The 22,331-nt window shown below is 47.0% G+C and overlaps 1 protein-coding gene and 1 pseudogene across 5 annotated transcripts in view, besides 3 other annotated features; both read left to right on the forward strand.

Moving 5' to 3' along the window:
- Nucleotides 1–22,331, forward strand: part of GNAL (G protein subunit alpha L) — a 196,422-nt gene that overhangs the window by 41,258 nt on the left and 132,833 nt on the right. The window contains exons 1-2 of one of the 5 annotated variants that reach the window (NM_001261443.2): nt 20,951–20,987; nt 21,811–22,057. The exons of 2 other annotated variants lie outside the window; for them this stretch is intronic. In NM_001261443.2, the coding sequence (NP_001248372.1) occupies nt 21,913–22,057 (145 nt within the window). In that variant the 5' untranslated portion in view covers nt 20,951–20,987; nt 21,811–21,912. Of the gene's footprint in view, nt 1–20,950; nt 20,988–21,071; nt 21,186–21,563; nt 22,058–22,331 lie in introns of those variants that run through there. 2 more of the 5 variants (NM_001142339.3, NM_001369387.1) reach the window with 2 other exon arrangements.
- Nucleotides 2,152–2,760: an enhancer, noted in NCBI's record as "H3K4me1 hESC enhancer chr18:11732672-11733280 (GRCh37/hg19 assembly coordinates)". NCBI's record gives its function as "activates a minimal SCP1, AML or CMV promoter by ChIP-STARR-seq in primed H9 embryonic stem cells {active_cell/tissue: H9 hESC(primed)}" and the evidence as "EXISTENCE:reporter gene assay evidence [ECO:0000049][PMID:30033119]".
- Nucleotides 6,987–7,756: an enhancer, noted in NCBI's record as "H3K4me1 hESC enhancer chr18:11737507-11738276 (GRCh37/hg19 assembly coordinates)". NCBI's record gives its function as "activates a minimal SCP1, AML or CMV promoter by ChIP-STARR-seq in primed H9 embryonic stem cells {active_cell/tissue: H9 hESC(primed)}" and the evidence as "EXISTENCE:reporter gene assay evidence [ECO:0000049][PMID:30033119]".
- Nucleotides 7,396–7,584: a silencer, noted in NCBI's record as "fragment chr18:11737916-11738104 (GRCh37/hg19 assembly coordinates)". NCBI's record gives its function as "represses an EF-1alpha promoter that drives an FKBP-Casp9 reporter gene in an ReSE screen in K562 erythroleukemia cells {active_cell/tissue: K562}" and the evidence as "EXISTENCE:reporter gene assay evidence [ECO:0000049][PMID:32094911]".
- On the forward strand, nt 16,129–17,186 carry ASNSP6 (ASNS pseudogene 6; annotated as a pseudogene).

The raw sequence follows: 22,331 nt of genomic DNA on the forward strand, positions 1-22,331 counted from the left end.
GGGAGGCCAACGCAGGTGGATCACCTGAGGTCAGGAGTTCGAGACCAGCCTGGCCAACATGGTGAAACCCCATCTCTACTAAAAATACAAAAATTAGCCAGGCATGGTGGCATGCACCTGTAGTCCCAGCTACTAAGGAGGCTGAAGCAGGAAAATCTCTCAAACACAGGAGGTGGAGGTTACAGTGACCTGAGATCGCGTCACTGCACCCCAGCCTGGGTAACAGAGTGAGACTCCATCTCAAAAAGGAAAAAAAATAAAATAAAATAAAGACTTGAAGTCAGTACAAAGGATGCTTAAGTTAAGGGGGTCGGCTATCTGTCATGTGATACTATACCAGAGTCAAATTGGAAAGTAAGCCATGTCATATCGAGTTAATTAAAAACAAACAAACAAAAACCTTTAGCAAGCTTTCATAGTTTGCAGCATGTGACTTAACCCTTGCCTAGCATGGCCTTGGGTCCTGTTTATAATCTGGTGTCTTATTGCCACACAGAATCTATTGCATTAGACTGATGATCTCTGTTTTAATGTTAATTCCAGTCATTTGTGCCTAAACTCCAAAAAGAATGGGGTATGAGGTGTGTCTGACTTCCCTTACCATCATGGCCAGGAATTCAGTTTTTGTTGTTGTTGTTGTTTTTGAGACGGAGTCTCACTCTGTTGCCCAAGCTGGAGTGCAGTGCTGTGATCTCAGCTCACTGAAACCTCCGCCTCCTGGGTTCAAGCGATTATCGTGTCTCAGCCTCCGGAGTAGCTGGGATTACAGGCCCACGCCACTATGCCCAGCTAATTTTTGTATTTTTAGTAGAGACGGGGTTTCTCCATGTTGGCCAGGCTGGTTCTCCAACTCCTGACCTCAGGTGATCCACCCGCCTTGGCCTCCCAAAGTGCTGGGATTACAGGCGTGAGCCACCGTGCCCGACTGGGAATTCAGTTTTTAAGGTTTTTCTGAGGTTACCCTTGGCCAAGAAGCTTCATTCAGTCAGTGGGGGGCCTTAGGATTTTATTTTTAGTTTACGATAGGTCGAATATAGTCCTTGACAAAACAGAAGAAAGAACGTAGAAATCCCACTGCGCAATTGAATTCCAATCCAGAAAGATTGCCATTTGTTTTTTTATTTCCCCTAGTGCAGAAATAACTCACATATCATGAATTCACACCTCTTAAAATTGTACAATTCAGTGTGTTTAGCATATTCACAAGGCCGTGGAACCATCACCACCGTCCTTGGGAGCCCACTGCTGAAGGACTGGAATATCTAATTCCCGAATGTTTTCATCATTCTGCAAAGAAGCCCTGGACCCACTAGCAGTCACTCCCCGTTTCCCCTCCTGCTCTTCCTCCCAACAACCATTAGTCTATTTTCTCTCTTTGCAGATTTGCCTATTCTGGACATTTGACATAAATAATCTTATAATATGTGGTCTTTTGTGACTAGCTTCTTTTTCTTAGCATAATGTTTTTATCTATGTGTAACATACATCTCTACTTCATTCCTTTTTGTGGTTGAACAATATTCCATCATATAGGTATACCATATTTTGTCTATTTATCATTGGTGGACATTTGCGTGTTTCTGCTTCTGTGCTTTCATGAATAATGCTGCTATGGACATTTGTGTACAGGTTTTTGTCTAAATATATGCTTATTTCTCTTGGGTATTACCAAGAATTGGAATTGCTGGGTCATGTGGTAACTGTATGTTCAACTTTTTAAGAAAAACGTAAACAGTTTTCCAATGTGGCTGCATCATTTTACTTTCCCACCAGCAGTGTATGAAGGGTTCTAATTTTTCCACATCTCACCGACACTCGTTACTGTCTTTTTTATTGTAGCCATCCTAGTGGATGTGAGATGTTATTCACTGTGCTTTTGATTTGCAGTTCCTTAATTAATAATGTTGAGTATCATTTCTTATGCAAATTGGTTATTTGTATATCTTCTTTAGAGAAATGTCTGTTCAAATCCTTTGTTCCTATTTTAATTGGGTTATTTGTCATTTTTTCTCATTTGTTCTCAAGCACACGTAACTCTACATTTAGTCTGTCCTCACCCATGGGTATCTGTTCAAAAAGGAATAGTGTCAAGTTTTGCCCCGATTTTATCATTTCAATTGTGTTGTATGTTAGCAATATTCAGTGCTAACAAGTTTTAACTACATGGTTCTAAATATGGATCTTCCCAACATTTACAAATGGAGGAGGGATAGACGGAGTGTTCAAAAGAAAATGTTAATATGCTTTGAAACATTGTTTTGTCAATGTAAATGTTAAATCAGCAGAACCCAGTAACTGATGAGAAGCACAGTAAGTTAGCTACAGCAATCACATAAGCAGAAGCACAGGGAAATTCACGAAGAGGGAAACAGCAAAAATAGAAAGGCGGGAACACAGGAGTGGGTATAGGGATGCCTACAGTTATGTATTCATGAAGTAAGAGCTTTCTGGGCAGTGATTAACTGATTTGTCAGAAATTGCAGACAGCAAGGAAAGAAGAAATAAAACTTGCTTGGAAGGAAGTAGTGTTGTCTGGTCCGCTGTGGACACCTGGACATGTGAAGAGAAGACTCTGATCTGTGCTCAGAGTCGGGTTGTTTCTCGAACGGCCGCCTGGTGGCGCTGTGGCACAGGGGCGCTGGCGAGGGAAAGGCTCCTGCAATGCACCAAGCTGCGCCCGGGCGCGGGGAGCCGTCGACTGGGGACTTGGAGGTGTGGGCCTCTCGTGCTGTGTCTGAGGGACAGCTGTCATGTGTGAAGCTCCTGCTATATAAAAGGGTGAGCTGTTTCCCTCTGCTCACCCTTTAAACTGCTCTGCCTGCTGAATGCTGTACCCAGGTGGCGGAGAGCAGAAGCGAAACTGGGGAGTGAGGCCAGTGAGGCTGGGGGGCTTGCTGGACACAGCCAGTTCTCCAGAGCTGGAGCTAAACGGCAGCAAGGTCCCAGCCTCTCACTGGTGTGTTCTCATTTTCATCTTTTGGAGATGTTTTTTCTGTCTTAAAAAACATTCCAAGTCCATCAACGGATGACTGGATAAAGCAAATGTGGTACTTATACACTATGGAATACTATTCAGCTGTAAAAAGAGTAAAATCATGTCTTCTTGAGGGTAATTCTCTAAGTGAAATAACTCAGAAATAGAAGTCAAATGCCACATGTTCTCATAAGTGAGAGTGAAACAATGTGTGCACGCGGACACAGGAGTGGAAGAACAGACATTAGAGAGGCAGGATGTGAGGGAGGGAGGGACGATTACTTACTGGGTACAGTGTACGCTCTTCAAGTGATGCCTACACTATGCTCTATAGCCATGCAACAAAACTGCACTTGTATCCCCTATGTCTATCACTGAAAAAAAAAAAAAAAAAAAGTCCAAGCCCAGAACTTGTGTGTGCGTGTCATTCTGCACATTCCTGGACAGGTCCTGTGTCCGTTCTGTAGAACTGCGCCATCATTTCTCTCCTGGAGGAGGCCCCCAGCCTCACCAGAAGGGATGAAGATGTGGGGTGGCCTCATCCTTTTTGAAACAGCTCTTAGTTCAGATGAAACCATCTTTCCAGAGGCTCGGTGGTTTCTCGATGGAACTGGGGGTTAGGGAAGAGCAATAAGCTTTTCTTTTTCTTTTTCTTTTTTTTTTTTTTTTGAGACAGCCTCGCTCTGTCACCAGACTGGAGTGCAGTGGCGCGATCTCAGCTCACTGCAACCTCCGCCTCCCAGTTCAAGCGATTCTCCTGCCTCAGCCTCCTGAGTAGCCAGGACTACAGGCGTGCACCACCACGCCCAGCTAATTTTTGTATTTTTAGTAGAGACGGGGTTTCATCATGTTGGCCAGGATGGTTTCGATCCCTTGACCTCGTGATCCACCCGCCTTGGCCTTCCAGAGTTCTGGGATTACAGGCGTGACCCACCGCGCCGGGTGTAGATTTTCTTTACAGGACAGGATCAAATCACATAGAATGGATTCAGTGGAGGCAATCATGTCTGGGCTCTGAGGGCTGGAGCATGGCTGTGTGGCTTAAATGATATGTCCTTGGAGAGCAGCAATTTCTGAGAGATTAGCAATAGCTTGCATTCTAGATAGCATGGGAGTTTCATAGGCTCGCCTAGGACTCTAAAGATCTCATGGCATCGTTCAACAGGTGAGGTTTTAGGTTGCAAAGGGAATACTACCAGATCCTAAGCAGGACCACTGCTGGGGTCATTCTGTAGTTCACTCAGTAAGCATCAATGATCTGATGAGCATGTAGGAAATAGCCTTTGGGGGGATTTATTCTACTGGAGAAACTTGGCATTCTCAGAGAACCACAGCAACCAGGCAGGAAGCTAAAGGGCAAATGGCATTTAGACCAGCGTCCCCTATCTGATGCAGGAGTGCTTGAACCAAGTATAGAACCGGTTTGATGGACTTGCAGAGAAGTGGGAAGAGAGCATCCTAGATAAAGAGAAAGGCTGGACTCAGGTGGGCACAGGGAAAACGCCAGGCCGACGTGAGGATTGGTGGGCATTTGATAAGGTTTTGTTTATTGTTTTTGTGGGGGTTTTTTTTGAGATGGAGTTTCGCCCTTATCACCCAGGTTATAGTGCAATGGCACGATCTTGGCTCACTGCAACCTCCACCTCCCAGGTTCAAGTGATTCTCCTGCCTCAACCTCCCAAGTAGCTGGAACTACAGGCTCGCACCACCACACCCGTCTAATTTTTGTGTTTTTGGTAGAGACGGGGTTTCACCATGTTGACCAGGCTGGTCTTGAACTCCTGACCTCAAGTGATCCACCCGCCTTGCCCTTCCAAAGTGCTGGGATTACTGGTGTGAGCCACTGTGCCCGACCTGATAAGGTATTGATAAGTGGTATTAATAAGTGAGTTGAGCTCAATGAAGAGAGTGATGATAAGGAATGGATCATTTAAATAAGAGTAGCTCACTGGTCTCTTTAATTAAAAAGAATGTGACCAGGTGTGAAGCTCACACCTGTAATCCTAGCACTTTAGGAGGCTGAGGCAGGAGAATCACTTGAGCCCAGGAGTTCGAGATCAGCCTGGGCAACATGGCAAAACCTTGCCTCTACTAAAACTATAAAAAGTTGGCCAGGTGTGGTGGCATGCACCTGTAGTAACAGCTACTTGGGAGGCTGAGTTGAGAGGATTGCCTGAGCCCTAGAGGTGGAGGAGTTTGCAGTGAGCCGAGATTGTGCCACTGCATTCCAGCCTGAGCCACAGAGTGAGAACCTGTCTCAAAAAAAAAAAAAGAAAGAGAGAAAGAAAGGAGGGAGGGAGGGAAGGAAGGAAAGGAAGGAAGGAAGGAAGGAAGGGAGAAAAAAATGCAAGGTCACAGTAAAAAGTTCAGAGAATGGAAAAGGACAGAGAGCAACACTGGAAACCTCCCTTCCTGGGTCCCAATTGTTTATCGGATGCCTTCGAGCCCTCCCCCTGTTCATATACAAGAATCTATTAACATAGTGATTTGATATGCAGAGTTTACTACTCTCTGTCTTGTCCCGCAACTTACTCTGGGACTTAACATGCCAGTACATCTCCAAATCTAGTCTATTTTCTTCCCACAGAGGGAGAGACTTCTTTTATTAAAGATACTTCTGGCTGGGCATGGTGGTTCACATGTAATTCCAACACTTCGAGAGGCTGAGGCGGGAAGATTGCTTGAGGCCAGGAGTTCCAGACCAGCCTGAGCAACATAGTGAGACTTCGTGTCTACAAAAAATTTAAAAATTAGCCATGCATGGTGGCACACACCTATAGTCTTAGCTACTCAGGAGGCCAAGGCGGGAGGATCACTTGAACCCACGTGTTAGAGGCTGCAATAAGCTATGATCACACCACTGCGTTCCAGCCTGGGCAACAGAGCAAGACCCTATCTCTATTATTTTTTAAAGATACTTCTTTGTGGTTTTATTTTTTTGTATGTAGAAGTATTAGTTTTATTTTAAATAAGATTTAAAGTATCACATACCTTTAAACTGCATTTGTACAGCAGTTGTTCTGAAAGATTTGTACTTGACTTCTGCAACCCCTGTTTGCAGAAGGTGCTTGGTGTGTCTGAGAGATTGAGCCTTGCTGTTTAGAAGCTGCTGGTGGTGATGATAACCTCCTCTAGCTCATGAAGAACAACCTTCACAATCATTTTCCCATGTCAACTGCAGGGTGTAAATTCCCCAGTTGTGTTAGAAGAGAAACAGGACAGCTAAATGCTGTGTGATCCTGGGCCAGCCCCTGGAAGAAGGATGGGGAGATTGCTACAAAGGACACTTGGTTCTGTTAGCAGACTTTGTATATGGATGGTTGATTAGTCAGTAGGACTGTAGCAACATTTGTAGTTATGTAAGAGAATCTCAGCCTTAGGAAATACCTATGGACAAGGGCATACTGGTTCCAGCTTACTTTCAAATGGTTCAGGGGAAAAAAATGTGTAAATACGAATATGAAAACATACAGATAGGGAAAGTATATGATAAAGCAAATGTAGCAAAATGCTAACAATTGAAGTAACTGGGTGAAGAGCATGTGGAACATTTTTATACTATTCTTTCTGTGAGCTTGGAATTATTTCAATTTTTTTAAATTTTGTGGATGCATAGTTGGTGTATCTATTTATGGGTTGCATGAGATATTTTGATACAAGCATCCAATGTGTAACAATCACATGCGGGTAAGTGGAGTATTTCAAACTTTAAAAAATACATTTTGTTAAATATTCATCTGAGGACTACTATATATACAATGAGCTTACTGTGCATGTTTTAATCATCTTTGTAGAAGAGAAAATAGCTTGCTTCATTACAATAATGCCTACCAATGCTTTAAATTGTGTATATTGTTTTCTAGTCAAATTCTAAGAATCCTAAGGCATTTTCTCATCTCCCTCTCCCTGACCTTCAAGTCTGATCAGCCCCCAAGGTCTTCCAAGTCTCTCTGAATGTTTCTCTCTTCCACTCTTCTGAATGTCTGTTGCACTCACCTCCCTGGCTGCACCTCGGGGTCTCTGCAGTGGGTTTCACTGCCCTCCTGCCCACTCTCCCCATCTCTCCAGTCCACTGGTTCACCTTCCTTCTGAAAGCACAGCCCTTGTCAGATCAAAGCTGCCCAGACCTGCCAGTGTGCCAGGGCCACCCCACATAGCAGTGCAGGTTTCCATCCGCACAGGGTCATCTGACCAGAGTAGCCATGGGGACTGAAATCCGGATGCCTCTGCTCTCCAAGCCCTGTGCTGGGCACAGGGACATATCAGCCCAGAGGAAGGGAACCATTTGGGTGAGAAATCTGGCAGAAAACAAACAATCCCCTCAAAACAGGTTACTGAAGAGAGCTTGATGACAGCATTCAGCCTGACATGGGGGAACGGGGGAAGGACCCTGACCTCCTCCCCTCACCCTGCCATTCCCCCTGCACCCACAGGAGCTGGGCCAGGGAACCCAGTGGAGGCTGTCTGCAGAGCCAGCCCCCTGGGCCGGAGAGGGTGGGTCTGCAGGCCGGCAGAACCCCCAGCGTCCAGGCTCTGCTTCACAGAAGGCAGTGACTTGGGGCTGACAGACCTGCTGGTAGCTCATCACTCAGCAGATGAAGGGCTGACTTGCATTTCCTCTTTTAATATCAAAGCCTCCCACAGACCCTGCTTCCAGGCTTTCTCTCTTCTAGCTCCTCTGGCTGCCGGGCTCCCAACATGAGCTTAGCCTGCACCACCCACCCCAAAAGTCCCACTGTTCCAAGCAGGCCCCAAAGGCCTCCTCCAGCGTTTAGGCTCCTGCCCAAGCACAGCCTGGGCCACTGGACCCCTGGCCCTTGGCTTCTGTGTCTTAACTTCTTGTAGCATGCATTGGCCAGGCCAGGTCTGCTGTGGGCAGCAATGTCTCTGGCTGGGACACCAAGCTCCCTGAGGGGAGGGCTGTCATCTAGGATGGCCTGACCTCTGTGAGCAGAGCCCAGCATGGCACCTTCATGACCAGCTCACTGCCGAGGCAGACATGCCCCAGCTTCCCCTATCTCAGCTCACTGCAACCTCCACTTCCCGGATTCAAGCAATTCTCCTGCCTCAGCCTGCTGAGTAGCTGGGATTACAGGCGCCCACCACCACACCTAGCTAATTTTTTGTATTTTCACTGGAAATAGGGTTTCACCGTGTTGGCCAGGCTGGTCTCGAACTCCTGGCCTCAAGTGATCCGCCTGCCTCGGCCTCCCAGAGTGCTGGGATTACAAGCATGAGCCACCACGCCCAGCCAAGCCTTTCCTCTTGAAGCAGTTATTCCCCAGGGTAAAGGAGGAGGCACTCCTTCCAGGCAGAATTGGAAAATTGTGTAGTATGAGTCCGTGCAGAGCGGGTGAGGATGAGGAGGATGTGCAGGTTGCCAGGCAGGACGGCAGTGACCTGGGGGACTCAATACCCACAGAACCTCAGTGCTGCGGAGGAGCCCACTGCTCTTTGCCGCCCGACGTCATAACATCTTACTGCCTTATTTCATGCGATCAGTGCATCACCGAAGTACACGAGCAGAAACACCATGATGGTGTCCGCTGCCCACTGAACGAGGGCAGGTGAGGGCCCAGAGAGTGCCCTGCGCAGCCTAGATCCCTGGGGGCACTTGGTGCTCAGATTCAGGGAAATTCTTACAGAGCAGAGCATCTGAGGCTGTTCTCATTATTCAACTTTTCATTTGGAAACAATCTCAAACTTAGAAAAAAGTTGCAAGAATAAGACTTCAAAGGTTTCCTAAATGCCCCTCACCCAGGTTCGCCTCTTGTTCACATTTCCCTGTGTGCCTTCTCATTTGCATACATTCTGTAGATGTGCAGGTGGAGGTGTAGACAGGTGAATCTTTCTCCATCTTCTGAGAGCTTGCTGTGGCCATCATGGCCGTTGACTCCCAAAGGACGTCCGTGTGTGTTTCTAGGGGCAGGGTATTCCCTTAGGTGACCATGGTACGGTTCTCAAAATCACTCGATTGGATATTGAGACAATAAGTGTGTCTGACCCGTCATCATCTGCACAGCAGTTTCATCGGTCGGCCCCTCTATGTGTTCTCCAGCATTTTCCCCTCCAGGATTGGAGGTATTGCATCGCTCCTTAGCTCTTTATGACATTGGCATTAGTGAAGAATACAGGTCCCTTTCCTTTTTTTTTTTTTAATTTTAGGTTTGCCCGATGTTTCCTCCTGACTTAAATTCAGGAAATACCTTTCTGGCTAGAGCACTGCATACACTCTGTGGTGTCCTTCCCGGGGTCTCACCTGTGGAAACCTGTGATGCCCACACCTCCCACACTGGTGGGGTCAATTGTGATGACCCAATTTGGTGTCCAGTTTCTCCACTGTGTGGTTACTTTTTTTTTTTTTTATGTTGCCACTAATAAGCACCCTATGGGGAGACACTTTAAGACCATACAGCCCTCCTGCTCCTCGTTAAAACCTCCCCCTGCGTTCAGCATCTGCTGCCAATTCCACCCGACCCATGCTTCCCCACAGTGGTCGAAAAGGATGTGTCCCCTGTCCCAGCCCTCCTTCCGCATTCACTAGCTGCCTTTGGCTAGAGTCCTCCCTTTTCTATTTATGTATTTATTTATTTATTTATTTATTTATCTGTCTGTTGTTGGCAGGGACACCTGACAGGCCTGTAATTTTCAGTGGCTTAGAATTCGTTACAGTACTTAACTGTTTTGGTGCTCACATCATCCCACATTTGGCCAAATGAGAGCCCCTTCAATCCAGCTCTTGTGTGCTAGTGGTGTACCCCCAGCATTTTGGGGCACTTCCTTACTTTCCGACATAACAGTGTTCCAGGTTTAGCTCATAGCTACCCTGCCCTGCCCACTCCACACCCCACACCCCCAGTTAGCTATTTCTCTAAGGATGACCAAGATCTGGGTACCGTCCCTGCTCGCTGCTACTGGAGAGTCTTCACTTCTTGGCATTTCAGCAGACAGAAATAGGAAATACATGCATGTAGATACACAGGGACAAACATACACAGGCTCACAAATACACTTGCACACACCCATTTGTGGACAGAATCATGAGTGTGTCTATGTATATTTTAAAAATCATGAGCTCATACCAATTCTTGCAATTCCAGTCCATCCCCACAGGCCTCTTGCTTCTCTTCATTCCATATGTGTGTGTTGCCTCTTCCTTTCTGAAAATCCTGGCTCTCATTCACAACATAACACATTTCTTCATTTGCTCAACCATACAATACATCTAAATTTGTTTCGGATTCGTGTGCAATGAGGGAATCCCTTTTGAATGTCAGTCTCAACTTACCCATAGTTTAAATTCATCAAATGTTGCTATGTGATGACAAATAAAAGCAAACCATGCAATGCAAACATAGACAAATATGAAGCTCTGTGCCCCTTCCTCTTTGTCAACAGCCCTGCAAGTTTTAGGATGAGCCACTCCAGCTTCTCTGAGAAAGGCTCATAGTTCCTACCTGGGATAAGAAAAGTTTATGTTATGTTTAATTGCATAGACAATTCGATATTCTATTACAAGGAATACTGTTGCTTTAAACTCTGTAACTAAACCAAAGTCTAAAAGAAACCAGTTGCTAAGGCAACTGGGCAAAGAGATAATTAATTCATCAGTCATTATATGCAGATTAATCTGCCTAACTGAGTGGGAAAGGAGGTAGGCTTCTTTGATTTTTCCTTTTGGAATTAGTAGAAGAGAGAAGGGTGTAGTTTTTTAAAATCTGTAAGAGGCCTCAGAGTTCATCCGGGAAAGGGTGGAGGCTTTGGAATCCAACAGAACAGACCCCTGTGAAAGCTATGGACCAAATTGTGGGCAATATGGTGCATTCTATAATCATCAAATGAGATGCTGAAAATAAAGCACCTTTCAGTGTCTTTTAAAAATGAAGAGTGACTTACAAATATTAGCATAAATTTCTCTAAAAAAAATGAAATGATGTTTTTTATGCACTTGTAGAATTAACCACACAAACTCCTCTGTGCTCCCGCTGTAATCGTTACAGAATTCAGAGAACTTGACTGCAGGTCCATCCCTCTCAACTAGACTATTAAATTAATGAGATCAGGGACAATGTCTTATTTATCCTTATAATGTCAAGGCATGGAAGTGTGCTAGATGTATAGTAGGTGTTCAAAGAATGCTTTATGATGAATGAATGAATGAATGAACATGCGTTGCTTTAAAAGCACCTCAGAGCCTCCATCTGTCCCCCAGGCTCCATGTTGTCACCTGCTGGTGTAAAAGTATAATTGCAGTAAATGTGTCTAAGAACAAGGAATTGAAGTCACTCAGCTGTCATCAGGAGACTCTCTCCCACAATTGCTGTGCTGAAAATTCTACATGTGCATTTTGTTCTTTTTTATTTTGGTAAAATATATGCAATATAAAATGTACCATTTAAATCATTTTTAAGAGTACAGCGCAGTAGCATTAAGTACATTCGCATCATTGTGCAATCTTCACCACCATCCATCTCCAGAAATTTTTCATCCTCCCAAACTGAATCTCTGTACCCGTTAAACACTAACTCCTCATTTCTCCTCTCTTCCCAGCCCCTGGATACCACCATTCTACTTTCTGTCTCTACCACATTTTGCTTACCCATTCGCCCATCACATGTGCATTTTTGTACAGTTCCTAGTATGCTTTGTTACCTGTGTGTTCCCAGCCAGCAGCTTACACTGTGCTCAGCTGAGTGTCACAGGCCCTCAGTGAGTCTTTGTTGACCGTACTATAGTTCGTTGTTCATGTGTCTGCTCAGCAGAAAAAGCTAGGAAATCCTCAAGGATGTCCACATGCTGCCTCATGGAGAGGGATAAGATGGATATATATTAGTTCTATTCCTATTGAATGATCGTCATAATTACCACAGTCCACTTACTGGGAGCTTGATGCAGTGAATCAGTTCATCTAATCCTCACCACAGCCCCATGAGGGGAGTACTGTTACCCTCACCCATGCACTGAGAAGGACAGAGAATAACAAAGAAAGGGACCTCTGCTGGCATTCTTGTTCGGCATCCGCTATGCTGCACCCAGCGGAGGGGCTGCCTCTTAAGAAAAGTTTCCGTGCCAAGAACACGCATTCTGGGGCTCATATGCTCACCCGACCTCTGAGACTGAGTTTCATTGTCTGCCAACCTGCCTCCTGGGCGATAGCAGTTCCCTTCCCTCTGCCTATCCTTCTGCAGTGCCTTCTCACCTTAAATGTGCGCCTTCCCTCCATGTGGTCCGACCCCACCACTCCTCAACACCGGCCTCGGATGCCGCTCCCATGATGAAGCTTTGCGGGATTCCAAGGACCCTCACACACCCCTCAGTGTCCCTCCCACGCCACCTAGCCCTCGGCTCATACCCATCCTGGCACACTGCCCTCTGAGTGAGTGGGCTGTGCTAGTCCTATTTGCTCAACTGCACAGAAACTTAAGAAATTGGTCTTAGAGTGTTCTTATCCTTTCTGGAATACATCTCTTTGGGTGACAGCCTGTAGGTAGCAATATCCATGTGTTCAACTACTTGAATCCTCCTTTCCTTTTTGTGTGGACACGAAATTGGACTCTACGAACCATCTTCCCTTATGGTATATCCCCACTTGATTTGCTTAAAATATGAGAACAGTGTGAGGCAGACAGACAGACATTACTGAATTCCAACATGGGATCAGTGCTAGTTCTAGGATTCATGTGGAATCAGGTGTTAGCCTAGGGGCCACATGAGATGAGGTGTTGGCGCTAGGATTTACACAGAATCAGGTGTTAACACTGGGATTAACACGTGGATGTCACCACACCTTTGATTTTCCACAGGAGCACTCACTAATACAAAAAAAAAAAAAAAACCACCACTGTTAGGCATTTACAATGCAGACCACATTGTTCCTCTGTCTTTTTGCTCCAAATCAAGGGACTTTGTGGAGTCCGACTCACTTTATACTAAAATATGTTTGTGAATATAATCATTTGAAGAGTAGAAAAGTCAGGGTATCTAGAACCGTCCTCTAAGTGCTAAAATTATTTTTTATCATAAAATATTCCCTCAGAAAGAAACTTTGTTCATATATGGTAGATTTGCTTGAAAAATTTTTACATTTTACTTCATCTGATGTTTGTTAATTGGTAAAGAGAGCACCATCTTTAAAGCTTTTTAGACTGGTTTTGAAACTTCACTTTGGTATTAAAACACATTGGCTAAACAACATGTGTTTGAATATCTGCTGTAGTCCAAAATGCTGCTAGGCTATTTGAGGTTAAACAGCAGATTGAAACAGATGGGGTTGCTGATTTTCACTGTTCAAATGCAAATTATTGGGCACTTTATTTGATTTCTGGTTTGTAAAATGTGTTTTAAATGCAACTTTGAGGTGTGTGGTTTCTCTTAAAATACACCAGTGGTCCCCACACCTACCCTTGCCTCACAGCCTGACCTAGTTTGGTGGTCTTCGGGGATATTTTTGAATTGTAAGACCTTGATAGTTCATTCTATTTGCAGGTTCCTCTTGTTATGCTTTGTGGGATACGCTTTTGTTTGGTTTTGTTTTGACATATTCAATGGCCTTTCCACCTTCTAACACAGTAATTAAACTCCTATCTGTGCCACTGAGTCCAGTGCTTTAGTGGCACTGGATATTTCAGTCCTGGATTTTTGGACAAGGGGTGAAGTCAGAGACATGTAACCTACTTTTCCTACTGATTCAGTGTTATTTTGGTTTTTAAAGCTGTGAGTTAAAGAAGAATGTGTTATTCTCCTTTACAGATGACACTTCTAAAAGCTCCTTAATATTACTTTGGTTATAGGGGTAAGAAAAATAGAAGATAAATTATTTCAATACATTCTAAAATATTTGATCACAGATTATTATGTACAGAAAAGGAAAATGGAAAAATATTTCCCTGCTTTTCTCTAAAAATCGTTAAAATTTTTATCATGATGTTTTTTAAGTGTACTATAATTAGGTCACAGAATGATCTCTGCTGCTAAAAATGAATGATCATCTACTCAGGTTATTTCCACCAAGATACTAAGAAAAAAAAGAGAGATAAAACAACAGGAAGTTGTTTAAAATGTCCCGAAGGGACCCCCATCTGAGGGCTGTGTGCACACTGGTCACTCAGTGGCCACAACTCCAGCACCACCCAGTTGTTTGCAACTCTCGGGCTATAGCTTTCGGCTTCTTGGAGCATTGTTAGTGCATAGAATTTAGTGACCATTCACCTTTCGTAAACTGTTTTGTTCCTCAGAGACAGAGTCTCGCTCTCTCACCCAGGCTGGAGTGCACTGATGCAAACATGACTCACTGCAGCCTCGACCTCCTGGGCTCCAGCAATCCTCCTGCCTCAGCCTTCCAAGTAGCTGGGACTACAGGTGCATCCCACCATGCCCGGTTAACTTTTGTAATTTTTGTAGAATTGGGGTTTCGCCATGTTGCCCAGGCTGGTTTCAAACTCCGGAGCTCAGGCAATCTGCCCCTCCTTGGTCTCCCAAAGTGCTGGGACTACAGGTGTGAGCCACTGTGATGGGCGCTAAAACTGTTGATGTACCTGTTCCAGAAGTCTTAGTGCAGTTTTCATCTTTAATAACCTTTAAAGTATAAAGACTACAGAAGACCAGTTATTACATTTTCTATCTATTGTTTTTTTATTAAAATTTAATGTATCCACCGTCTTGTGCTATACATACATCTAGTCAGTTTTCAAACTTGATCAGCATCTCCTGGATCTTGGCCTGTCGTGAACTGAAACAGCTGCCTTGAATTTTTTCATCCTTTCATCCAGTTGTTAATTAAATTTCTGCAGGGGTGGGAGGCTCCTTATAATGGGAAACAAATTTCCTTCTTACTGCTATTGGGGACTTAAGCTCAGCTAACCAGAGAACAGGTGACTTTTTTTTCAACATTTGCCATCTTCAATCCGAAAGACTGAAAGAGACCAAGTTTTTAAATTATTATTCAAAATTTACAAAACTAAGTATAAAAGAAATTTAAATAATTAAACTTTCAAATGCACTAAGACTTCTGAGATGCCTTCTGCAGCCCTGGCCCTGGCTGTCCCCTCCAACCTGACCCGCTGGTGCCTAGTCTTTTCCATCACATTTGATTTATTTGAATAAATCAGAGCCCATGGCTTCACAGGACCGTATATGGCATTTGGGCCCTCTTTGGCAGCAACGACTGCCTTTCTGTTCACACGCATTTCGTTTTGAGAATGCCAATGGACACACCAACTGCTTCTTTGGATTTCACCAGTTGGCAGTGGTTGATCAGCTATTTGGAATGCAGCCGATTTGAGTGAAGAAATATCCATATTTGTAGCCCTGTTACAATAGTGAAAGCTACAACCACAAAAAAAAGATGCAACACCATTTTGAATTTGAACACCAGACCAACGTGAATAGTGAGATAATCGTCATCTTTACGACAAAAGAGGGATTGAGCAAACAGTTTGTATGTTGGATGATGTATTTGCAATTACTTTGCTAGATACTGCCAATAAGAAAGTGTTCTTGGGCAGAGATACCTAGGGAGTCGGGTTTTGTTTAAAGCCGTAACAGAAGATGGATTTTGGTTGTGTCTTCAGAAGCTGAAGTTCTTGTTCCATTGGAGCACTCCACGACTCCCCTTTTAAAAGTGGAGCCTTTTGTTCTGGGACACTATGAAGTTTTGGATTTAAAGGCAAATGGCAAAGTTGCATCTGTGGAAATGGTTAAATATCATCACTGTAGGTACAACCTCTGCATGCCTTCTGTAACAATGTGGAGAAGCTCTTCTCAGGTTTAGAGACAGAAACTTTGAAGAGCAAGCTTTGGTTCCTTTTTAACAATGATATTAAGAAGAATTTAATGCCAGGTGCAGTGGCTCACACCTGTAATCCCAGCACTTTGGGAGGCCAAGGTGGAAGGATCACTTGAGTCCAGGAGTTTAAGACCAGCTTGGGCAACATAGCAAGACCCCATCTCTACAGAAAATTTAAAAATTACCCAGGAGTGGTGGCACATGCCTGTAGTCCCAGCTACTTGGGAGGCCAAGGGGAGAGGATCCCTCCAGCCCAGGAGGTTGAGGCTACAGTGAGCTGTGATTGTGCCACTGCACTCAAGCCTGGCAGCAGAGTGAGACCCTGTGTCTAAAAAAAAGAAAGAAGAAGAAGGAGAGGGAGAAAAAGGAGAAGGACAATTTTGACGACAGACAGAAGGATAGGCTCCATTTTATTAGGGGCTTGGACTCTGGCTTGGTTGCTGCCACCCAGGTGAAGCAGCTGAAAGAGACGCAGTGCAAAATACACTCCCCAGACATTTGTGACTGGCATGGAGGGCAGCCCTGATTTATTGGTTGCTGGACGAGTGGCAGATCGTATTGGAAGTGAACATCATGAAACCCTCTTGAACTCTGAGGAAGGCACTCAGGCTCTGGATGAAGTCATATTTTCCTTGGAAACTTAGGACATTACAACAGTTTGCACTTCAGTAGGTGAGTATTTAATTTCCGAGTAGATTTGGAAGAACACAGATAGCATGGTGATCTTCTCTGGACAGAGATCAGATGAACTTATGCAGGGTTATGTATATTTTCATGAGGCCGAGGAGAGAGAGGCCTCTGAAGGAGCTCTATTTGTTTGGTGTTCTCAGCGCAGATCGAACTGCCCACGCTGCCCACAGCCTTGAACTGAGAGTCTGGTTTCTGCATCATCGATTTTCTTCCTGTTACATGTCTCTGCCACCAGAAATGAGAACTCCAAAGATGAGGTGGAGAAACAGCTCCTGAAAGAGACATTTGAGGACTCCAGTCTGAGACCCTGAAGAGATTCTCTGGGGAACAAAAGAAGCCTTCAGGGATGGAATAAGAATGCCTGGTTTAAGGTGTTACAGGAATATGTTGAACATCAGGTTGAAGACGCAATGACAGCAAATGTGGGCCAGAAATTTCCCTTCAATATCCTAAAGCCAAAGAAGTCTGTTCATGCCCTTGAGGCTTGAATGCCACTACCCAGGCAGGGTGCAGTGGCTGACCCAGTACCGCATGCCCACATGGATCGATGCCCGCTCACTGACCCACTGCAAGTCAGCTACCTAAGCCTAGGTGCTCTCTGAGCCAAAGAGCAACAGCAAATGTTCTTGTTGTGAAGGATAGGGGTACTGGGGATGGATAGGGGTACTGGGGATGGATAGGGGGGCAAGGAAAATCACCCAGGCCTACTGGGGTGTGAAAAAAATAAAAGTCTTAAATTAAAAAAAAAAAAGAAAGAAAAAGACTTCTGAGACATCCTGTATGTCTTAAACTTCAACAAGAGTGAGGAAACAACTGTTTTACTTTTGTGCCTTTCAAATTCTCCACGAGGTGACCAGGACCTTCTCTTCCTGGCTCTGGCGCAGTCAGCCTGGACCCTCTGCCGGTGGCTCCCAGGGCAGCCCTGGGTCCCCGCAGGTGGGTGTGTTGCCGGGGAGCGCAATGCTGCTGCTGCGGTTGCCTAGCAACAGACGCTCACACTGGCAGCGGGCGCCACTCTGCTCTTGGTACCCTCCCCACCAGCCCTGCTCCCACTGCTCCAGGTGGCCAGCTGGTACACCTGATGCTGATCCAATGGTTCTAAACACAAATGAGAATCGGTTTCCCAGACCAAACTAGAAAAAGGTCAGGTGATTGGGTTAAAAATTTTTTTAAGGTGTGTTGAATTCCTACCTGAAAATAGGCTAAGATTGGCTTTGCATTTTTCATGAGAAATGTCTCGTCACTGTGTAAGGAAAGTGCTTTTATGTTTTAGAGTGTTGGCAATGTGTTGTGGCACACAATGCAGGTAATAGTGCGAATGTTGCAGCCAGGCTGCAAGGGTCTGTGTCCCAGATACTCTTCTTACTCAGCCTCTCAGTCTCTGTAAAATGATGATGACAATAGTTCCCACCTTTTAGGGCAAATACCAAGTAAATTGTTCCATGGAAAGGATTTAACCCAGTGCCAGCAATCACTCCATAACTAGAAGCAGTTTTATAGCACACACATTATCATTATATTATTAATATATTAACTTCCTGGGTATATTTTGGTACTTTTTCATCACATCTGTTTACCTAATCCTTCTTAAATTTCAAATATAGAATTTATCTTTAACACTGATTGCTAAATCTGAACAAGTGGAAATCTTTTGCTATATTTTTAGGGAAACTAAATATCAGACTTCCTTAAAAATGTGACTTCTAGGTTCTAACATAATTCTCCCTTTATAAGTTTTCAAGGGATTTATTTTGTCCCCTGCTGTCCAACATTTTATAGAAATCTTGACATTAAAAAAAAGTTGGCAAATCCTTATAAAAATCCCACTACTCTATGCTTTTTTCAAAAAAAAGCACAGACACATACATTTTCTGGCCAGGCGCAGTAGCTCAGGTCTATAATCCCAGCTCTTTGGGAGGCCGAGGCGGTTGGATCACTTGAGGTCAGGAGTTTGAGACCAGTCTGGCCAACATGGTGAAACCCCGTCTCTACTAAAAATACAAAAAATTAGCTGGGTGTGATGGCGGGTGCCTATAATCCCAGCTACTCGGGAGGCTGAGGCATGAGAAGCCCCTGAAGCTGGGAGGCAGAGGTTGCAGTGAGCTGAGATCATGCCATGGCACTCCAGCCTGGGCAACAGAGCCAGACTCCATCTCAAAAAAAAAAAAAAAAAAAAAAAAAACCTCACCTTCTGACTGCCCCACTAGTCATAGCGCATGCTGGGTTGATATTGCCACGTGTGAATATATGTCTTTACACACTCATAAGATGTGAGCTGTGGAAACTGTGCTAAACAGTCTCCTTCCACAGAACTTCAACTTTTAGCCTAGCTCAGAATGGAGTCTGACAGTGTATGTTTGCTTCTGCCTGTCTAGAAAAGTAATTCATTGCATTTTTTAAATGTATTTTTATTTTCAGTAAGAATATTTATTGAAAAGTACTATATTGAACAAATATTTTTTACGTGTGGTCATGAAATTCCTTTGATGAGAATTCACACTTTGAGCTGGAGTTATCTTTCGCTTTCATGACGTCATTCATTCCCTTGACAAATATTCCCAGCGCATCTCCTCTGGGTCAGGCACTGAACCAGGTACCGGTGCCGCAGGTACAAGGATAGGCTCAGCCTCCGCCCTCAAGGAGTCCACAGTCTAGTGGAGTTTTGAGGACACAGTTAAACCATAACAATGCAAGGTGATGGGTGAGACCAGCGGAGAATCTGGTGCTCCCTTAGGGCTTGAGAAGGTGTGGCCTAACCCCCAATGTGAGGGAGGCAGTGAGGCCCAGCTTGAGGCTGGAAGGATAACTAGGGGGGTTGACCCAGAAAAGAGAGTCCCCAGGTATTCCCAAGACACAAGCAGCACATGCACCCGACCAGCCTGTTCAGGAACTGAGAGTGTTAGGAGGGATGGGGTAAGCCCTAAGAAGGGGAGAGTTTATACTAACCCCACCAGAAGGACCAGGCCCAGGTCCTTAGATGATGGGGACAGTGATGTGGCTGGATTTGTATTATCGCAGTGGGAGCATTGTGCAAGGTGCACTGAAATGAGACAGCAGGCAGTGGAAACCGTCCGGAGGCCTCTGAAATCCAGCTCTCTGTTAGTAATCTAAGACCACAGCAGTGGCAGACGCCACGGAAAGAACAGGACAGATACTCAGGAAACGGACCCAACGGGATGCGGTAACTGTTGGGGTTTGTAAGAAAATGGAATCTGGCATAACTCCCACCGTTCTGGTTTGGAAAATTAGGGGCCCTTATTCCAGAGAAAGAACTGAGAAAGGAGCAGGTAGAAGGCGTGAGGGTGGCACGGGGCATGAGCTCAATCCTTGGCAAGGTGAATTCCAGACACCTGCGGCACCGTGGGGGCGGTGTGTCTGGGGACGGTGGTGGTCAGCAGGATGGGCTGGGCTAGGGATCCGCGGTGGGCACGGTGAGAGCTGAGTGGGCAGAGTATGGAGGATGCAGTCAGCCCGTCAGGAACGTGTGTGGGTTGAGAGGCTGTGCTGTGGGGACGGCTCCTCGGACCCCTGGGTGGAGGAGCCCGGATGCACCGGCCAGAGGGACAGCCTGAAACCCAATGCAGTCTCTAGGAGGGATCAAAGCAGGAGCCACAGAGACGGAAAGAAAATAAAGACCAAAATTCATGGATGAGACTTGGCCCCTGGGGGGCCCTAGATGACCTTGATGAGAGTATTTTCCCTATGGGGTGAATGTGGAAGCCAGGCTGCCAGGTACTGAGGTGGGAGCAGCAGGAGGGGAATACAGGCGGAGTCAGACGACCTTTCTAACTCTTGGCTGCGGTGGGCAGGAGGAAAACTGGTGGAACTAACAAGGGGCGTGAGATGAAAGGTGTTGTGTGGTTCAGGTGGGACAGAGTTGAATGTGTTCGCTTGCTTGAGGGAAACCAGCCGGTAGCAGGAGAGGTTGAAGCAAGAGTGGAGAGGGGAAGGTGCGCTGGGTGAGGGGCGAAGGTCCACAGGGCAGCGGCGGGCCTGAGGGTAGGGGAAGCGCCGCCTGGGGAGCCGGGGCGGGCTGGGGTCTGTTCTCCTGAAGAAGGCCAGCTCCGCAGTGAAGAAGACCGTGTAGGTTTCTTGGAAGGTGGAGGCACTCGACGACAGAGCTGAGCAAAGGCAAGTTAGACAGCGCAGCGCCAAGCCCGAGACGGTCAACTGGGAGCCGCCACACACAAGGAACAGTGATTTCTCCACGCCCACGGCTGGTGTCCACGACTTCGGCCCGGCCCCCTCTTCTGACCTCCTTCCCCCAAGTACAACACTGCAAACGCCAAGCTGCCGGCTCTGGCCCTATTGGAGGGGTCTCAGTAACGGAGGGCAGGTGCCAGTCTCGCGCCCTAGTTCGTTCCTCTGCTACAACGCCAAGTTCGAGGCCACAGTGCCTTCTGGAAGAGTTGTTGTGCTGCTTGGGAGCACTGCACAGGAGAAACGGGGGCTGGAGGTAAAGACAGGAGGCTCGGGAGGCGGCGACGTGGGCGAGCTGGAATAGTCTAGAAGCTGAGCAGAACAAAGGCGGTGTGACTGGTGAGCCTCGGAGGGATCCTCCTCCCTGCTAGAATATGCATGATCCTCCGCGAGTCTTCGCCCGCCAGGAGCAGGGACGCGTCCGAGCCAACACGGGGCGCGCGCCCAGACGCACTTTCCCGGCTCGGGGTGCAAGAGAGCCAGGCGGCCGCGGCGCAGCGGAGGGGCTGCGGGCCCGGAACCCAGGCCGGTCAGCGTGTAAGCGCCCCAGCCGGCCGGGCTCCGTGGGGGGTCAGCTCCCTGACCCCTACAGCGCGGTAGCGCCTCTCCGAGAGCTCCGGGACCAGCGGCCCGGCCGCCCCCAAAGCCAGCCTCCCTCTCCCTTCCCCGCACCGGGATCCCAGACCAGGGAGGGGGCGCACGTCCGACGGCTGAGGAATAGCAGGGCGCGAGCCGGCCCGGCAGGTGCCCATCGTCGCCCTCTGGGACCCCGGTGGCGCGCTCTGTCCTCCGCGCCACGCTCAGCCACCACCCCGGCTGTTTGGGACCCGGCACCCAGCCGAGCGCGCCGCCCCCTCGGGGACCCGCTGGGCGGGGCTGAGCGAGGCTTGGAGTGCGGGCGAAGGGACGTGGGGCGAACCCGGGGCGCTGCGCCACCTCGGCTGTCTCCAGCGGAGACCGGCGCCCTCGCCCCCCGTCTCCGTTCATTGTGCTGTATTCATCCAGCAGATTTTGAAACAATTCTCGTGTAAAAAGGCATTTTACTCCGCGCGTCTTCCTTACAGCCATTTAGTTGGGAGTTTGCGGTGGGCAGGGGGAGGGAGAAGAAACGCCTGCTCTGAATCGGAAAACACCGAAGAGACCAGACCATCTCTTTCAGCAGCAGGAAAGAGAGGAGCCGTCGCAGGAGCCGCACACGTCTCCAACTCTCTATTGCTTTTTGCGCACATTCCTAACTTCCTGACGTCCATCCCAGCGGGCAGGCATGGGGTGTTTGGGCGGCAACAGCAAGACGACGGAAGACCAGGGCGTCGATGAAAAAGAACGACGCGAGGCCAACAAAAAGATCGAGAAGCAGTTGCAGAAAGAGCGCCTGGCTTACAAGGCTACCCACCGCCTGCTGCTCCTGGGTAAGGCCGAGGGGCGCGCGGCGGCTCCCGGCCCCAGCGGAGCGCACAGCCAGGAGCGGCGAGCGCCAGGCTGGGCGGGCAGGGCCGGGCGAGGGTCGCGCGCACCTCTGGGCCGCGGAGCCCAGACGGCGGCCGGGGCGAGCTCCTCCAGCCAGGAACCCGCGTGTAGGAAATCCCCGTGCTGGGGGAGGAGGATTGCTCAGACCCGGCTAGTGGTGAGAGATGGCAGCGATATCCGGACACAGATCACAGCGTTCTTTCTGTTTGTTTGCAG

Source organism: Homo sapiens, chromosome 18, assembly GCF_000001405.40.
Source record: "Homo sapiens chromosome 18, GRCh38.p14 Primary Assembly".
NCBI classification, from domain to species: domain Eukaryota; kingdom Metazoa; phylum Chordata; class Mammalia; order Primates; family Hominidae; genus Homo; species Homo sapiens.